This window comes from Homo sapiens, chromosome X (assembly GCF_000001405.40).
Source record: "Homo sapiens chromosome X, GRCh38.p14 Primary Assembly".
In the NCBI taxonomy this organism is placed as follows: Eukaryota; Metazoa; Chordata; class Mammalia; order Primates; family Hominidae; genus Homo; species Homo sapiens.
The window spans coordinates 115625299-115643540 of record NC_000023.11 but is presented as its reverse complement, the minus strand read 5'-3'; the positions used below and the strand labels follow the sequence as shown (position 1 = coordinate 115643540).

Below are 18242 nucleotides of genomic sequence, written 5' to 3'. Positions count from 1 at the left end.
CCCACACATTCGAAATTGAGGTTTTTAGTTACCTTCTAATAGAGTCCAGTCAATATCCTGGTTCTCTGGCTTAGTTAGTGCTGGGTATTTATTAAACAGGTTAGCCACGAAAGCTAAGTTGAGTTTGGGGTTTCCACTGACAACATCAGCAGGGGTAACAAACTGTCTGCAACCTAATTTATCTGCTTGTTGAAGCATACTCTCAGCTCTCTTCAAATCATCTGTTTCCTGTTGAAACAAAATCGGAAGACTTTGTCAAAGGCCACACTAAAAATATAGAAAATTTCCCCACTGTCATAGTCTGGGTATACAGTTCTACTTTCTTTTAGCTAACATATGGTACTTATTATAAAATTGTTTTGAATGCAAAAAAAAAGGTTGGCCCTCTTGGAGATGCAGTACCTGTAATATACACTAGATGGCGCCAGATCACACAGCAAACTACTGAGTACATTTAACTAAATTGCATTAAGAAAGAAGTTACGTAAAAGGTTGGGGGAAACTCCCAGATTTTGTTTGAAAATCTGTAGAGAAAAATATACATTCACCATCTTCACTTTCTCTGGTTCCACTTTTCCTTTTTTCCTTCTCAATAGGAAAACAGCTTCAATTGTCCTTTTAAGCCACCTCAAGTTAAATATTCAGATATTTTCAGTAGAATTATGTTAAAATTTTTTTTCAAATGTACTTTATCTACAATGAATCTCAATTAATTATTAAATGTGAAAGGGTATTAACTGTAGTCCTACTTAAGTCTCCTTTAGAAAATGGTGTTCATTTTCTGTAAATTGTGGGTTCATTCTCTTCAACCTGGCTTATTTTATTTTATTTTGCTGATTTACTACTTTCTGCTTTGGAGTTTCTCCTTTTTTCTACTGGCTCTCAGCTGAACTTCACTGAGGCTTCTGGGTACTGTGCATTAAGTCAATGAGCTTCATGACAGAGTGGACTCCTTGGAACCCTGGAACCTCTGGGGCTGTGTTATGCAGCAGAAGGAACTAGAAAGGAGGGCACTGCTGGAGAGCGAGCTAGAGAGAGAGGAAGTTGTGCTGAGCTGTGGAAGTAGGCTTCCCTGGCTGAGGGAGAAGACAGACACCTTCATTCATGTCATGCTCAAATCCCAAGGGAAATGCTTGTGAACTGTTGCTTGAATTGAAGAGAAGCAGAGAATCTATTTCCACTGATTTCTTTTGAGCGTAGGGAGAATGGTGGAAGGCAAGACCAAGGATTAATCTCAGGGAATTGAAGGATTAAAAAAGTTAGGACGAAAGGAAGGGATTTTTTCCATTACAAAGACGAAGAGAAAAAAGTTAAATTGAAATAAAAAACAGGTAAAACTGTTCAGAGTTAAAATTAGGCCTTGGTTGGACGTGGTGGCTCACGCCTGTAATCCCAGCACTTTGGGAGGCCGAGGCAGAAGGATTGCTTGAGCCCAGGAGTTCGAAACCAGCCTGGCCAACATGGCGAAACCTCGTCTCTTAAAAAAAAAAAAAAAAAAAAAAGACCCTAAAGAAGGTGTAAAGCTGAAAAAGATGAAGGACACTGAAAACCATGAGAACAGCATGAGCAAAGGCACCTGGGTGGTGGTGGGAAGGAAGGTTGGGGTGGGGAACACAGACTTTTGGGGAAATAACACTGGCTAGATTTTAGAGCAAGATTTGTAGGGTGAGTGCCAAGCAGAACATTTCAGACTGAATTCTAGAGTCAACAGAAGAATCCTTGTCGGATTCTGAAGAGGGAAGAGACAAAAGAGTGTTTTAAGATCAATTGGAAAGGATTGACTAGAGAAGGGGTGTATCAGAATCGGTTAGCATACTGATGCCATTTACCCTGGTATCAGATCACATGGCTAGCCAACCCAGACAGCTCCCTTCTTGGACAAGATGGCCCCTCATCCCTACCAAGAGTGACCTGAGCTGAAGAGTTTTGCATTTAACATACAGACAGAAATATAAGCACACAAGTCAGTTACAAATTCAGTTCTGATAAGGGCAGCATAAAAATGGTTTAGCCACGTAAGGCACGGTGGCTCACACCTGTAATCCCAGCACTTTGGGAGGCCGAGGCGAGTGGATCACCTGAGGTCAGGAGTTCAAGACCAGCCTGGCCAACATGGTGAAACCCCATCTCTACTAAAAATATAAAACTAGCTGGGCATGGTGGTGGGCGCCTGTAATCGCAGCTACTCGGGAGGCTGAGGCAGGAGAATTGCTTGAACCCAGGAGATGGAGGTTGCAGTGAGCCGACACGGTGCCACTGCACTCCAGCCTCAGCAACAGAGTGAGACTCTGTCTCAAAAAAAAAAAAAAAAAAAAGAAAGAGAAGAAAAATGGTTTAGCCAATGTAATCCACTCCATCCTATGGCATAATAGGCTAGATATGTGGATTTTGTTAATTAGTAGCATGCATTCCATATCTAATGGGTACAAAAACCACAGATTCCTAGAAACTTGGGACTAAATAGTTCACTCTAACTCCTTACTTTATGGATGAACAAAGTGAAATCCAATTTTGAGAAGGAACTTGTCCAATGTCACTAAACAAATTAGTGACATAACCAGGGAACATGGTCTCTGAGAGTAATTCCCTAAATTAGATTTCATAGATTGGGAGTTTGTAAAACATAATCACATTACTCTCAACACAGGAATATGAATATATAGTCACTAAATCTATTACTGTGGTTATAATCCAAATACTTGGAAAAGGTTTTCATATAGTCACTAAATCTATTACTGTGGTTGTAATCCAAATACTTGGAAAAGGTTAGCTTCTAGTTACTTATTTCCCCATACTTGTTTTGAATATTTTATGCCATCCATATAAATCAATACCACAACAACGATGGAATTCACTAACAATCAAAATAAATCAAAGCTAGTTTTCTGGCCTCTGAATTACATGTACAGTAATACATTTTAAAATAATGCTTAAAATTGCCAACTCTACTTCATACGATTATAAAAATTATTGTACTTATAAGAAATTGACAATAATTTTGCAAGATTGTAGAATTCAAAAGAGCACTTATACTTACATTGAAACCTGACATGTTAATATCTATCCGTGGTTCACCTTCCTTTTGTCCTTTTGGTGCGATTTGATTGAGAAGATGGAAATAGGCTTTGGAATCCTACAAAGAATTGAAAATGTCAGTGAGATCACAGTTACAAGGAATGAATGTATCCTATTGTCCCATGTTTGGAAGGCTATTTGCATTGGATTTTTTGAGAATAAATGGCACAAATCTCTGCCTTTTAATTTAACAGGTGTTTTCCCCAGAAAAGTCCATCTATCTGCCTTATATCTGTCTTGCATATGGATGAACTGGATTTTGACATGACTTCGCAATTATTAAAGTCATCAATACAATAATGCTAATAAACATATAACCAGTTCTGTACCTTCACTGAATTACTGAAGTCAATAAGCTTGACAGACAAAACAAGCATTTAAAAAAGTAGGAGAGCAGAAATCCAGGAAGCATAGAAGAAAGAGAAAATAAACAGGTTATATCATTACAAAGCACAATGCATATACCACAACCTACGAAGAAGAGATTAGCTATGTTAAAGATGTATTTAATTGTAAATTTAAATGACAAAAGCATTAAATGGTAAACATTTTAGTTGCTAAAATAACACTGAACCCTCTATGATCTGAATGTACTTAACAAAACAAAGGTCTCTTTTCGTTTTAAACCCCTGGACTAAATCACTTGAATGTTGTTTTCTTAGAATCCCAATACATAAAACAATGGGGTTGGCTCACAGTCAACATGAATTCAGGTTGTGTGGACAACTCCACAAAACACAGCTTGAAAACTATTGTACTTGCACAAACGCTTATTAAGAACCTTTACACACGTGTCAAGTAAATTCCTGCATCTTTGGAATGCTAGAGGACCGGAATTTGAGTCAAGATTCCTTAATCCTGCCATATGTGAAGACCACCTTCCAGCTACGATATTAATAGTTTCCTGTTACTGGGCTTTGAAGGTCCAGACAGGCTATGAAGGAGTGTTTCTCATAGTCTATGTGCATACTAACCCCTGAGGAAGTTACTCAATATGTGAATTACTGAATCCAATTCCTGAGCTACCAAATATAAATGTCTGGGAGCTGCCCAGAAAGGTGCCTTTTAAACCAGTTACCCAGGTGAGTTTGAAACTTGGTGCCATAAATGATTCTAAGAATGGGGAAAATCAGGTAATTGAAAGCTATTTCAGAGCAATTCATAAAATGCCAACTCCGATTCTATCATTTGGGGGCATAGCATTTACCTCTTAAGGAATAGTGTACTACAATTGCGAAAGTGCTTTCACTTCCAATTACTTGCTAAAGCTACACAAACAATTTATAATAAACCTATGCTCTTGAGAAGAACAAGTAAAGAGCAGACCCAGCAAAATCTGTATTTACTACCCTGAAAAGGGCTTTACAGGTGAAAATTTGAACTTGAATACAGATAAACTGGAAGTTAGTTTTCACATTACCAAACAATTATTTCCTTTTTAAAAATATTGATGGCCGGGGGCGGTGACTCATGCCTGTAATCCCAGCACTTTGGGAGGCCGAGGTAGGCAGATCACGAGGTCAGGAGATCGAGACCATCCTGGCTAACACGGTGAAACCCCATGTCTACTAAAAATACAAAAAAAATTAGCCAGGCATGGTGGCGGGTGCCTGTAGTCCTAGCTACTCAGGAGGCTGAGGCAGGAGAATGGCGTGAACCTGGGAGGTGGAGCTTGCAGTGAGCCGAGATGGCGCCACTGCACTCCAGCCTGGGCGACAGAGCAAGACTCCATCTCAAAAAAAAAAATAAACAAAAAATAATTTAAAAAATAAAAAATAAAAAAATTCAAAGCAGGCTTCATTTACAAAAATAAGATTTTCTCTTTACATTTAAAATATATCCCACTACATAAAATCCATTTATGGTTGGCTTGCTGATTTTCAGGAACGCATCTAGTGCATGAAGCAAAATATACCTGGCTGGCCAGGTACCATGGCTCATGCCTGTAATCCCAGCATTTTAGGAGGCCGAGGTGGGAGGATCACTTGAGCCCAGGAGCTTGAGTCCAGCCTGGGCAACACAGTGAGACCCCATCTCTACAAATAATAAAAAAATCAGGCCGGGCACAGTGGCTCATGCCTGTAATCCCAGCACTTTGGGAAGCCGAGGTGGGCAGATCATGAGGTCAGGAGTTTGAGACCAGTCTGACCAAGATGGTGAAACCCTGTCTCTCCTAAAAATACAAAAATTAACCAGGCGTGGTGGTGGATGCCTGTAATTCCAGCTACTCAGGAGGCTGAGGCAGAAGAATCTCTTGAACCTGGGAGGCGGAGGTTGCAGTGAGCCGAGATAGTGCCACTGCACTCCAGCCTGAGTGACAGAGGGAGACTCCATCTCAGAAAAAGAAAAAAAAATCAATCGGGCTTGGTGGTGTGCACCTGTAGTCCCAGCTACTTGGGAGGCTGAAGTGGGAAGATTGCTTGAGCTTGGGAGGTAAAGGCTGCAGTGAGCCATGTTAGCAGCACTGCACTCCAGCCTGGGTGACGAAGTGAGACCCTGTCACAACAACAACAGCAACAACAACAAACCTGGCCAAACATATTGTGTAATTAAAAGAGAGGGCAGGGTCAGTTGGTCTTATAATTTTGGGGCTACTCTTAATTTTCATGGATGAAATCAGTAGTACAGGCAACTCACTGCTTCCTCTCATCACTGAACAAAATCATATCATCACATAGTATTGTTTTCACAGCCTTGCTGGTCAGTGACATCTGATGAAGATCCTTAAGTTTATTCCCTGTGTACCAACATCTGGATGTCACACAGAATTGAGGCAGTTAAGGAGAACTCCACACAATGTTTGCTATGGTAATGTTGGCCCTCTGCATGAGAAGCCAAAGGCAACATGTAATAAATGTCTTCCTCCATTGTTAGTTTTCCCCCACTGCTCATGATAAACAGTGAGTGAAAAAAAAATTCAATTCAATGCAAGAAATATGAGGGACTTGTATATGCCACATACTATGTTTTAAGTTGGCTTTAGTAGGAGGGCCCTGGAGCAGGGGCTGAGGTAGGATACACAGACATAAATAAGAGCTCATTGCTATCCTCGAGGAACTCACAACTAAAGGTAGGATAAAATGACAGGAGAGAAGCCAAATAAAAAAGGTGAAGAGGAAATCATGAGGCCCTTCCTATCTCTTCTAGGTGTGTTTACTAACAGGTACACTGAGGCTTGGGAAAGGCAGTTAAGAATAGAATAGTCATGTCCTATTCTTTAATACTCCATGTTTACCAATAGGCAGGATATAACAAATTAGCATTATAATATGATAAATTAGCATAATATTTTTACCTTTTCCCACAAAATAAAACATAGGTGCTAATGTACCTTATCTGGCTCTATTACTCTTCTAAAATCTACCTTCAGGGCCAAGAGACAACAAGGCTTGGTGATACAGTGTTAGGATTTTCTCTCTGTTAAGCTGGGATGAAATCTTCCAGCTATTATATCCCCCCAAAATGTTGTGATTCTTTCAACAGTTACCTTGATGTCAGCACTAAAGTTGTTAATTTTTTGCCAGCCCGAGTTTTCCAAATGAAAGTTTGCCCATCTAAGCAGAAGCTCTTCTGGAGACAATTTCATAAGTTCCTCCAAAGTCTCACCATCTCGGAGTAAAGCAGCCAAGGCTAGAAGAAAAAAAAAAAAATCCCACAGTTATTATATGACACAATAATGGTCATGCCAAGTTCATTCAGTCTTTTGACACTGTTAAGTAATAGAGGTGCAAAAACTACTATGACATAGTTCCTAGTTTCAAGATACTCATAATCTACTAAAAAAGATAAATATATAACAGATATAATAACATAATACTACAATTTATTCTTTTCTCTGTTATTCTTCACATTTCAAATACCAAATGAGGTTATGGCCTTTAAGCTTAATGCAAGCTTCACATTATGTCATATGTTTGTATAAGTTGTTCTTATTTAACACTTCTAAAGTCAAGGATTTGGGTCTGGGTGCAGTGGCTCACGCCTGTAATCCCAGCACTTTGGGAGGCCGAGGCGGGCGGATCACGAGGTCAGGAGATCAAGACCATCCTGGCTAACACGCTGAAACCCCATCTCTACTAAAAATTCAAAAAATTAGCCGGGCGTGGTGGCGGGCGCCTGTAGTCCCAGCTACTTGGGAGGCTGAGGCAGGAGAATGGCGTGAACCCGGGAGGTGGAGCTTGCAGTGAGCTAAGATCGCACCACTGCACTCCAGCCTGGGCAACAGAGCGAGACTCCGTCTCAAAAAAAAAAAAAAAAAAAGTCAGGGATTTGGGGGAAAGATGTTTACAATTTGGGAATCTTTTACTTAACCTTTTGATTAAAGTAGTCTAGAAACACGGTGGTATTTGTATTTAAGTAAAATTAATCAATTAACTCTTGAAGGCTCAATCCTATTTTAACAGAAATATAATTCATCCTTATATTTTCTTTTTCTTTTCTTTCTTTTGAGAGAGTCTCGCACTATTGACCAGGCTGGAGTGCAGTGGCGTGATCTCGGCTCACTGCAACCTCTGCCTCCATGATCTCGGCTCGCTGCAACCTCTGCCTCCCAGGTTCAAGCGATTCTCCTGCCTCAGCCTCCTGACTAGCTGGGACTACAGGCACATGCCACCACGCCCAGGTAACTTTTCTATTGTTTGTAGAGACGGGGTTCCGCCATGTTAGCCAGGGTGGTCTCCAACTCCTGGCCTCAAGTGATCCACCTGTCTCGGCCTCCCAAAGTGCTGGGATTACAGGCATGGTCCAACACACCCGGTTGCAATCTTACATTTTCTCTCTTTTTTTTTCTTTCTTTCTTTTTTTTTTTTTTTTTTTGAGACAGAGTCTCACTCTTTCGCCCAGGCTGGAGTGCAATGGCACAATCTCAGCTCACTGCAACCTCCGCCTTCCGGGTTCAAGCAATTCTCCTGCCTCAGCCTCCGGAGAAGCTGGGACTACAGGCACGTGCCACCTCGCCTGGCTAATTTTTTGTATTTTTAGTAGAAACGGGGTTTCACCATGTTAGCCAGGCTGATTGTGCCACTGCGCTCCAGCCTGGGTGACAGAGTGAGACCCTGTCTCCAAAAAAGAAGATGGTGCAAAATGGTGGAGCTGAGGGTGGCAACGGGGTAGAAGTTGTGTAGGCAGAACAGAAAAAAATAGATAATCAAGTTTGAGGACTTCAGGAAAGCTCCTTAATCTCTCTGTGCTTTTGTGTCATTATTGCAAAATGAATTGTAAAGTGCCAGACAAATGTGAATTACTAGTAAAGAAGAGAGTCATGTAATTAGGCTATTTTCCTGAATAACTCTATAGCATTACCTTATGTTCATTCTAGTTACCACCATTTAATCACCTCCATTAAGTGAGAGCACGAAAGTCTGCATGACTAGAAAAAAATAACCAATAAACAACTGCCAGAATGACTGTGTTCCATTACCTTCATTCCTGCTTAATTCAATGTCAGCGAACAAACCGATCTTAATGATCTGCCAAAGCAGTCCCAAAACCAGATGAGGTTTCCCAGCCCTCAAATCTTCTGCACCAATGTTCACAACATGACACCCAATGGCAGAAGCAGAGTTCAGTGCCAAGTTCAAGTTTTCCTGCAAGACAGCCAAATTACACACTTGCTTCTTGACCTTTCCATTTTTTAGCAGTCTACTTTCTCCCTTCACTGAAAATAACATTCAATGAGGAAATTAATACCCTGTATTAATTTCATCCATATATGTGTCACAAAAAACAAATTCCAGAGTTTTGTGTTAGAAAGCCTAGCTAAGACAAATTTCAGCCTTATTGCTATTGCCTTTTGCAGAATCTCATGAGAAGTTAACTTTGTATTTTTATTTGGTACCTTTTGAAGTATGCTGGCACTAAATGAAAAGGCTGAGTACCACAGTAAATATATCCATGTGAGTAAAGTGTTATAATTCCAAAAATGCCTAAATGGGTGAGAGACCAACAGTACTGCATATGCCCAAAAGAGTTTTAGAAGTTATCAATGTCCACATCCCAAGAGGTGCTCTTCTCTGAGGGAATTTTGCTAATAATCTAATATTCACTTGATAGAAAAAAAAATGCTCCATTTCTTAAGCACGCCAGTTAATTAAGAGCTTATATACTTCTGCTTATCTCTGTAGTGCTTGAACACATTATGAAATGAAAAGAACATGGGGCTTTGAAATTAGAATGGGATTTGAACCTCAGTTCCAACATTAATCTCAGGCAAGCTCAGAAACCTTTCTGAGTCCCAGTTCTGTCTGTATAATCTGGATAACAATCCCACACTCAACAGTTTTTACAAGGATTGATTGGGAGCCTACAGAGTGCAGAGGCTGAAGTCTGCAGAACAGGTCCTCAAACAGTAATTTCATGTTAAAGGGAGGGGAGAACAATGCATACCTGAATGATGAAGGGTGTAAGTTTCTTCTTGTTGATTGCTCTTTCATCAATGGTATCAGGAACTGAAAGGTTAATCATTTTACTGAAACAAAAATTTAAAAAAAGGCTGATGTAAAAAAAAAGAGCTGATTTCCTTTTATAAAGTGGCTGTAAATATTTACAAATATTTTAAAGCTTACTATAACATCTCTTTCATGTACTCTAAAAAATGCAGCTAGATGACTTTTATCATGTTGATCATAATAAACTACACATATGGAAAATAAAAACTAAAAATAAAAAAGGCCAAGGCCTGATGTGGTGGCTGATGTCTATAATCCCAGCACTTTGGGAGGCTGAGGCAGGAGGACTGCTTGAGGCCAGGAGTTCCAGACCAGCCTGGGCAATATAGTGAGACCCTGTCTCTACAAAAACGATAAAAAAATTAGCCGGGCATGGTGGCATGTGCCTGTAGTACAGGTTACCCAGGAGGCTGAGGAAAGAGGACAGCTTGAGCCCAGGAGTTCAAAGTTAGAGTGAGCTACGATCACACCATTCCACTCCAGCCTGGGCAACAGAGCAAGACCCCGTCTCAAAAGAAAAATAAATAAATAAATAAATAAATAAAACCCTGGCCAGGCATGGTGGCTCACGCCTGTAATCCCACACTTTGGGAGGCCAAGGCAGGTGGATCATCTGAGGTCAGGAGTTGGAAAACAGCCTGGCCAACATGGGAAAACCCCGTCTCTACTAAAAATACAAAAATTAGCACAGCGTGGTGGCACACACCTGTAGTCCCAGCTAGTCGGGAGACTGCGGCAGGAGAATTGCCTGAACCTGGGAGGCGGAGGTTGAAGTGAGCGGAGATCATGCCACTGCACTTCATCCTGGACAACACAGCAAGATGCCGTTAAAAAAAAAAAAACCCAAAAAGACCAAAATATGTGCATAGTAGTTGGGTATCTCTGAGCAGAGGATTGTAGCATGCTTTCTCTTTCAATTTTTTTTAATTTTTTCTCATTCTTTTATGAAAGAAAATAACTTGGATATTGAAAACAAAACTTGGGCCAGGTACAGTGTGGCTCACGCCTGTAACCCTAGCAATTTGGGAGGCCAAGGCAGGCAGATTGCTTGAGCTCAAGAGTTCAAGTCTAGCCTAAGCAAGATGGTGAAACCCCATCTCTGCAAAAAGTTAAAAAAAAAATTAGCTAGGCATAGTGGCGCATGCTTGTAGTCCTAGCTACTTTGGAGACTGAAGTGGGAGGACTGATTGAGCCCAAGAGGTCATGGCGGTAGTGAGCCATGATTGAATCACTGCACAGCAAGACCCTGTCTCAAAGAAAAAAAAAAAAGTGGGGGGTGGAACTTTATTGAATATATTTTAAAGACAGATAAAATCCTGCATTGGAAATGAGTCTTTTCCACAAAACAGTAAAATTAGTTGAGCATGAGATTCTTTCATTCACCAAATGTTTACCGAGTGCCTCAACAATGAGCCAGACACTATATTTGGTGCTGGCAGTATAGTGGCGAGAGAAAGATTAGGTAGGCTATAGTCTGTGACTCATTAGGAAAAATCTCATTTGGTAAAATCTAGATTTAGACTTTAACATTTTATTTTTTATTTTGTTATTTTTTAGAGACAGGGTCTAACTCTCGCCTGGGCTGCAGTACAGAGGCCCAAATCGTAGCTCGAATCACTGCAGCCTCGAACTCCTGGGCTCAAGGGATCCTCCAACCTCAGCCTCCAAGTACCTGGGATTACAGGTGCGAGCCACTATGCCTGGCTCTAACATATTAGATGTTCATAATACTGCCCTAATAAATTTTTTTCTACAGAAAGAAAGCCATGCTTCTTTCCATGCAAAATTCAAATCTTAGTTAGTTCAATATGATTATCTCTTATTATTTTTACAATTTATAGATTTTTTGAGTTCTGCAGGGTGAGTCCCCAGAGAGGGAAACTTGCAGTCTTCTCTCTATATTAAAATGCAAGGGAGGCCGGGCACGGTGGCTCATGCCTGTAATCCCAGCGCTTTGGTAGGCTGAGGCAGGAGGATCACTTGAGGTCAGGAGTTCGAGACCAGCCTAGCCAACATGGTGAAACCCTGTCTCTACTAAAAATACAAAAATTAGCTGGGTGCGGTGGTGAGCACCTGTAGTCCCAGCTACTCGGGAGGCTGAGGCATAAGAATTGCTTGAAACTGGGAGGTGGAGGATGCAGTGAGCAGAGGTCACGCCACTACACTCCAGCCTGGGCGACAGAGCAAGGCTCCATCTCAAAAACAAAAACAAAACACACACATGGGAAATTATTTCTTCACTGCTTGTAAACAGAACACAAAGGAAATGTATATATATATATTCTTATTTCTTAGACAGACAGGGTCACCCAGGCTGGAGTTCAGTGGTGCAAATCCTGGCTCACTGCCGCCTTGTACTCCTGGGCTCAAGTGATCCTCCTGCCTCAGCCTCTCAAGTAGCTGGGACTAAAGGGGTGCAACCCCATGTTGGGTTAATTTTTAATTTTTTTGTAGAGACAGGGTCTCGTTTTGTTGCCCAGACTGGACCTAACTCCTGGTCTTCAGCGATCTTGCTGCCTCTGCCTCCCAAAGGGCTGGGCGTGAGCCACCATGACCAGCCTATCTTACATTTTTAATATCAGCTTTTCAAACAACCAAAATGACCCTACTGCAAAAAGAAGAATTGTGTATACTATAATATATACTGTCAGCCGGGCGCGGTGGCTCACATCTGTAACCCCAGCACTTTGGGAGGCCGAGGCGGGCAGATCACCTGAGGTCTGGAGTTCGAGACCAGCCTGACCAACATGGAGAAACCCCATCTCTACTAAAAGTAAAGAAATAATAATAAAAAAATTTAGCCGGGTGTGGTGGTGCATGCCTGTAGTCCCAGCTACTCAGGAGGCTGAGGCAGGAGAATGGCTTGAACCCAGAGGCGGAGGTTGCGGTGAGCCAAAATTGCGCCATTGCACTCCAGCCTGGGCAACAAGAGCGAAACTCCATCTCACACACACAACATATATATATATATATAATGTTATATTATATATAACATATATGTATAATATATACTTTATATACGTATATATACATATATTATATAACATATATGTATAATATATATTTTATATATATTATACATATATATTTTGTATATATACATATATACATGTATAATATACATATATTATACATATATATACATATATACATGTATAATATACATATATTATACATATATATACATATATACATGTATTATATATATTATACATATATATTTTGTATATATACATATATATTTTGTATATATGTGTATAAAATATATATGTGTAAATATATATACACACATATATTTTATATATGTATATATATACATATATATGTATATATTTTATATATATATAGTTATCTGAAATATGTCAGTTGCACTACCCTAAGCACTTTGTATGTAGTAATTTACTTAATGCTCACAAAAGCCCTGTGAGATAAGTATAATAATGTGGAGATCATAACAGATGGAAACTGAAATGCAAAGGGGTTGAGTATTATGATCACAGTTGTACCGCTTCAGAGTGGCAGGACTGAATAGAAAGAAGTCAGGCAGACTGATTATGGAGCATGCTATTAACCACTGTGTGACACTGCCTCTATAAATTGGAACATCGACTGGCAGTGTTGATAATGTTGTGTTATGTCTGCCAAGATGCTGTTGGCTGTGGGGCAGCAGCAGTGACAAAAGCATTTTTTAGAAATAGGTCATTGGAGAGTGAGAACTGAAGAGTAGCCTCTTTTTTTCTTTTGGAAGCTGTGGTACTTTAGAATAAAGAGACACTGACATACTTAAGTTCAACAAAGTTGTAATGTTCTGCTGGCCTGGTGTTGAGAAGAAAATGGAGGCTGAGAGCTTCCCTATAAAGAGGTTGTCGATTTATGGCTGAATTTTAGATTCATGGACAGACCTAGAGATTAAATGAAAAAGGCAGAACCTGGATAATTTTCCATTCTAGTTATTTCTTGAGGTGAACCTGTCAAGCATGCAGAAACAAATATATCAATTATATGGAAGGCTATTTTTGGATATCTGGATATAAAACAAGCTAACATCTTACCAAAGCACAATTCCATCACCAACAGCTTTGAACAGGTCATCGGTGTTAGGGTTCATTGGTATAACATGTCTACAATCAGGATCATTTTCCAAAGCTTTGTTTATCCAGTTAACAAAAGCATATTTTTCTTCCTCTAAAATTATGTTAAATAACAAGACATTAGTTCATACTCTAACTTATTAAATATTTGACTCCAAAGCCTAAAATAGTTGTGCAGTAGTGCTGAAAGTTAATGTGTCAGAAACATGTGGTTATTCTGTGTGGAAACCCAGACACTTGGATGCAACACAGTGGTTATTAGGAATTACAAAATTAAGAAAAAGAATAGAACACGTTAACCAGTCCTCAGAAAAGTTACAAAATTCCTTAAAAATTATATTTATATTACTGTATAATGCACTGTAATAAAGCCTGTCATTACATGGATTGTATCCTGTCTCTTGCAAGCTAACAAAGCCATACAATAAACACTTATAATGCCTTTATGACAAGTATTAGTCTCAAGCCTAAATACATGTCACAAAGGACTTCTACTGTATTCTTAATTAGAAGGTAATGTTTTTCTAGAGCCCGTCCTTGACATTACAGCAACCATCCCACTTAGCACATTGTGTTAACCTATTGCATATAAAATGATTACCTGAGTAAGAATGCTGTGTTCCTTCGCTGGACAACTCTGAAGTTCCACCCAGAGCACAAATACCTTCTTTCCTGTTGATTGCTTTGCGGAAGGTCTTGGCAATATCACTACTTTTTACCTCTTGAAAAATCTATTAATTAAAGTAATTTTGTTGATTCACAATTAATTTCAAACTATGCACAATAAGCATATTTATATTCTTTTATATCTTGATCACTTACATTTTTTCCATAGCTGATGTTAAAAGATACAAAAAACTGGGCTTGAGTTTTTGAAATGCTAAACAAGTACTACAATACCCCTTCTGAAAATGAAGCACCAGAATGTCAATTGCACACACTTGTCAAAAACATTAAGCGCTACATGCATTGAACTCACTTTAAGCCAAAAACTAATGTGGTTCAAAGGCACAGGTAAATCTGTTAATTTTCTACAAACAAGGAAGGCTTTATTCTTTTCCTGGAGAGAAAACATTGAAGAATCCCCCTACTTTAATAAAAATTCTTAATGCAAAGAAAGATAAAATTTTATGATTTAACCAAAAAACTATTTTACAGTATAATGGGGTAGCTCATTAAGAATTCATTAAATCAAAAGTTACAGAATAATGCAGTTAAAAAATGTGTTAAGCTGGTAGTAATAGATGACTATCAAGAATAAACACCAAAAAGAGGCTTTTCAGTGATTGTCTTATTGGGGCATTTATGAAGTCCAGCTTCTCTTCACAGTAAGGAACATTCTAATTGTACAAAAGCAAGTTATAACACAGTAAGTTTCACATCCTAGTACTGTGTAGCTATCTGATTGGACATTCTATCTGTCTATATTTTTCTGAGGTATTGGAATGTACCTAATTCCAAATGTGTTCCTGATCCACCAATGTGCGTGGCTAAATTAGTCAAAGCCAGTAAAACAGGAGCAAGATGTAGAAACCGTATACAACTTTCTTTAAATGGCGTTTAGAATTCCATTTAAGTGGATTCATTGAAAGAAAACTTAAGACTTAATGGAAAAGTTGCTGAACAAATGCAATTCAAAGACCTTTAACATTCGTGACAGATATGTATTCACACACACATCTCAGGAAGATGCAGCCTATGTCTGCGGTTCATAGAACAGGGTTACAATATACATAACAGTTCAGGTTGTATGTGTCAGAGCAGGCACGAGCAGAAGCAGAAATCCAGCCCAAGCTATACTAACCAAGCCTTGTGTCTCGCACAGGACTGTGTCAGACCGAAAGGAGTGCCTTGTTGTATTTTGTCTTTCCAGGAGGGTACCTTTTTGTAATTAATCCATCTAGAGAAAGTGACTTTTAGTAACTGGTAGAAAAGTTGCTGTATGTGTTGTCAGTGGCCCTATTACTTAGTCATTTTTTCCTGTTACCTTTCTTAAATTAAATCCTAACTTTCTTTGGACTTACAAATAAAATTTTGTTTGAGAGAATAGTTAGTAAGCACTTAAATTTTACAAAATCAAGCTTACTCAGTATTTCCATACCTGTGATTCTGTGCTAGCTTTACCAGTAATTTTGGAGGTGGAATTTTAGAATAAATGTCTGTGTGTGTCTATGTTTGTATATGTATGCAGACACACACATACACACTACTCTAAATACTAAACACAACCAATGAAATCACCCTTCCTGCTCTATGGCCATTATACTGACTTTCACTAAGTATCAACAGTATGGAGCTTACGCACACACTTCAGGCAGTTTTCAAATGATTAAAATATTTTTATTTACAATCTGATTTTTTAGTCCAACTGTGCCTTAACTGTGATGCATTTTGATCCTATAGCTCTCCTTTTGATAACAACGCAGCTGCTCTGTGAAAAGACAATAGTCACTAGTCTACTTCTTTCTGAACTCTACTTCATTGTCTAATAAGTTAAAATCTGAAAGGTGTGCATTTCTTCATGCCTAACATACCACAAGTCCCTGCAATGACAAAAGTGTTACAGCTTCAGAATGAGATATGTAAAGTTATTTTTCTTATTACGAGTGCTTCTGCTTCAAGAATCATTTACTTCTAAAACTTAGGTTGTTTCAATGATCATGATTTCAGCTAAAAAATAAATCCAAATTTGTTTATGTCACAGAAAAAAGGATTAATTCATATTTAAAAAAGAGAACGTCTGGGAATTCGAACTAATAACTAGAACTAGAAAAGTAGGCTGGGCACGGTGGCTCACATCTGTAATCCCAGCACTTTGGGAGGCCAAAGTGGGTGGATCACTTGAGGTCAGGAGGAGTTCAAGACCAGCCTGGCCAACTTGATGAAACCCAGTCTCTACTAAAAATACAAAAATTAGGTGGGCGTGGTGGTGCATGCCTGTAACCCCAGCTACTTGGGAGGCTGAGGCATGAGAATCACTTGAACCCGGGAGATGGAGGTTGCAGTGAGCCAAGATGGGCCACTGCACTTCAGCCTGGGCAACAGAGCAAGATCCTGTCTCAGAAAAAAAAAAAGGAAAATAAATTAAACATATATATACATATATATAGAATGTCTCTGCTATATATCCTAATGCAATTATTTACATAGCTTTAGTAAAACTCCTTCTTATGCTTGGCAATGAAATGCAAAGTTGTAATTAAGTTTGTTAATTTTCAAAGGTCTTGCAAAAGTTACATGACCTTCATTTTCTAAATTGTTTCAAATAAATTATTCCAGCTAAGCTTAAACTTTTAGTTTCATAGTATTTTCCTCTATTCCCTTGGTTTTAAAAAAGTAAAAATGGGCCAGGTATGGTGGCTCACACCTGTAATCCCAGCACTTTGGGAGGCCAAGGTGGGCGGATGGTTTGAGGTCGGGAGTTCGAGACCAGCCTGACCAACATGGAGAAACTCTGTCTCTACTAAAAACACAAAATTAGCCGGTCGTGGTGGCGCATGCCTGTAATCCCAGCTACTCTGGAGACTGAGGCAGGAGAATCCCTTGAACCCAGGAGGCAGAGGTTGCAGTGAGCCGAGATCACGCCACTGCACTCTAGCCTAGGCAACAAGAGTGAAACTCCGTCTCAAAAAAAAAAAAAAAGTAAAAATGATAAGAAAGAACTGAAGATTTGTGTCTATGATATTGATTCACTACACAAGAATTTGCATTTTACTTTCTACTTTAGTAAAGAAATCGCTTAAGTGGATGATAAAACTATTTGAGTACAAGCTTTGGCTTGACAAGAAATCTCTGAAATCAGAGATAGCACAAGGCTGACTACTGTGCTGGAGTCTTCTCAATGAATCTTTTCAAAGCTGCCCGTTGTGATACTAATGAGCTCACTGTTTTGTGCTGTTTTCTCTCCACAAGGAAAGACTTGCTTTATCATCTGTGAGCTAACTCCTGCTGTACTTTTTTCAGGAAGCCATAACCACTCTTGATCTATACATCTTTTTCAGTCTCCGTTATGGAATATATATGTTTTTTATTCCTTTTATTAAGTTTCGCCTTCTTTCTCTCAAAGACTCTCAGCAACCGGCTAACTTCTTTTGACCCCAGAGTTAGCTCAACACAGGACGAGTGGCCAAACCAAAACAATCCAGAGGCATATGACTTAAGAAAGAAAGATTTCAGAAAGAATTGCAAAAAAAGAATTGACTGGCTTCCAGTGTTTGGGGCTTATTTCCAAAATGTTTCCAAAGAGGCAGGATTGAATTTTTCCATTATTTTGGAATGTCTTGTAGGCCTAAACTTAGTAATATTTGAAAAACATAACTTCTTTTTTTTTTTTTTAAAGAAAGAACTACCCCAGCAACTAACACCTATATAGTATTTACTATATGTCCAAGACTGTTCTGGGCAGCTTACTTCTCTGCTGAAAGTGCCATACTAGTTTAACAATCAAAGAAAAAAAGTCCCATTATCTTGTAAGCATAAAAATCCAGTATTTTTAGTTTTGAAGTGCTTAGAATTTTAAAAAGCAGGGTATTAAATTTAATTTTCACCTTTAAAGTTTACATACATATAATTTTGGGACTGTTTTTTGCCATACACACACACACGCGCGCACACACACACAGACATTTCT

General features: G+C 39.1%; 1 protein-coding gene across 11 annotated transcripts in view; it reads right to left on the bottom strand.

Annotated features, from left to right (window-relative positions):
• Positions 1–18242, bottom strand: part of PLS3 (plastin 3) — an 89688-nt gene that overhangs the window by 7321 nt on the left and 64125 nt on the right. For 10 of the 11 annotated variants that reach the window (NM_005032.7, XM_047442172.1, XM_047442171.1 and 7 more), the window contains 7 exons: positions 14214–14343; positions 13574–13706; positions 9460–9541; positions 8495–8660; positions 6563–6705; positions 3038–3133; positions 33–228 (listed from right to left, as the gene is read on the bottom strand). In NM_005032.7, coding sequence (NP_005023.2) covers positions 33–228; positions 3038–3133; positions 6563–6705; positions 8495–8660; positions 9460–9541; positions 13574–13706; positions 14214–14343 — 946 coding nt within the window. Of the gene's footprint in view, positions 1–32; positions 229–3037; positions 3134–3404; positions 3432–6562; positions 6706–8494; positions 8661–9459; positions 9542–13573; positions 13707–14213; positions 14344–18242 lie in introns of all 11 variants that reach the window. The other variant, NM_001282337.2, reaches the window with a different exon arrangement.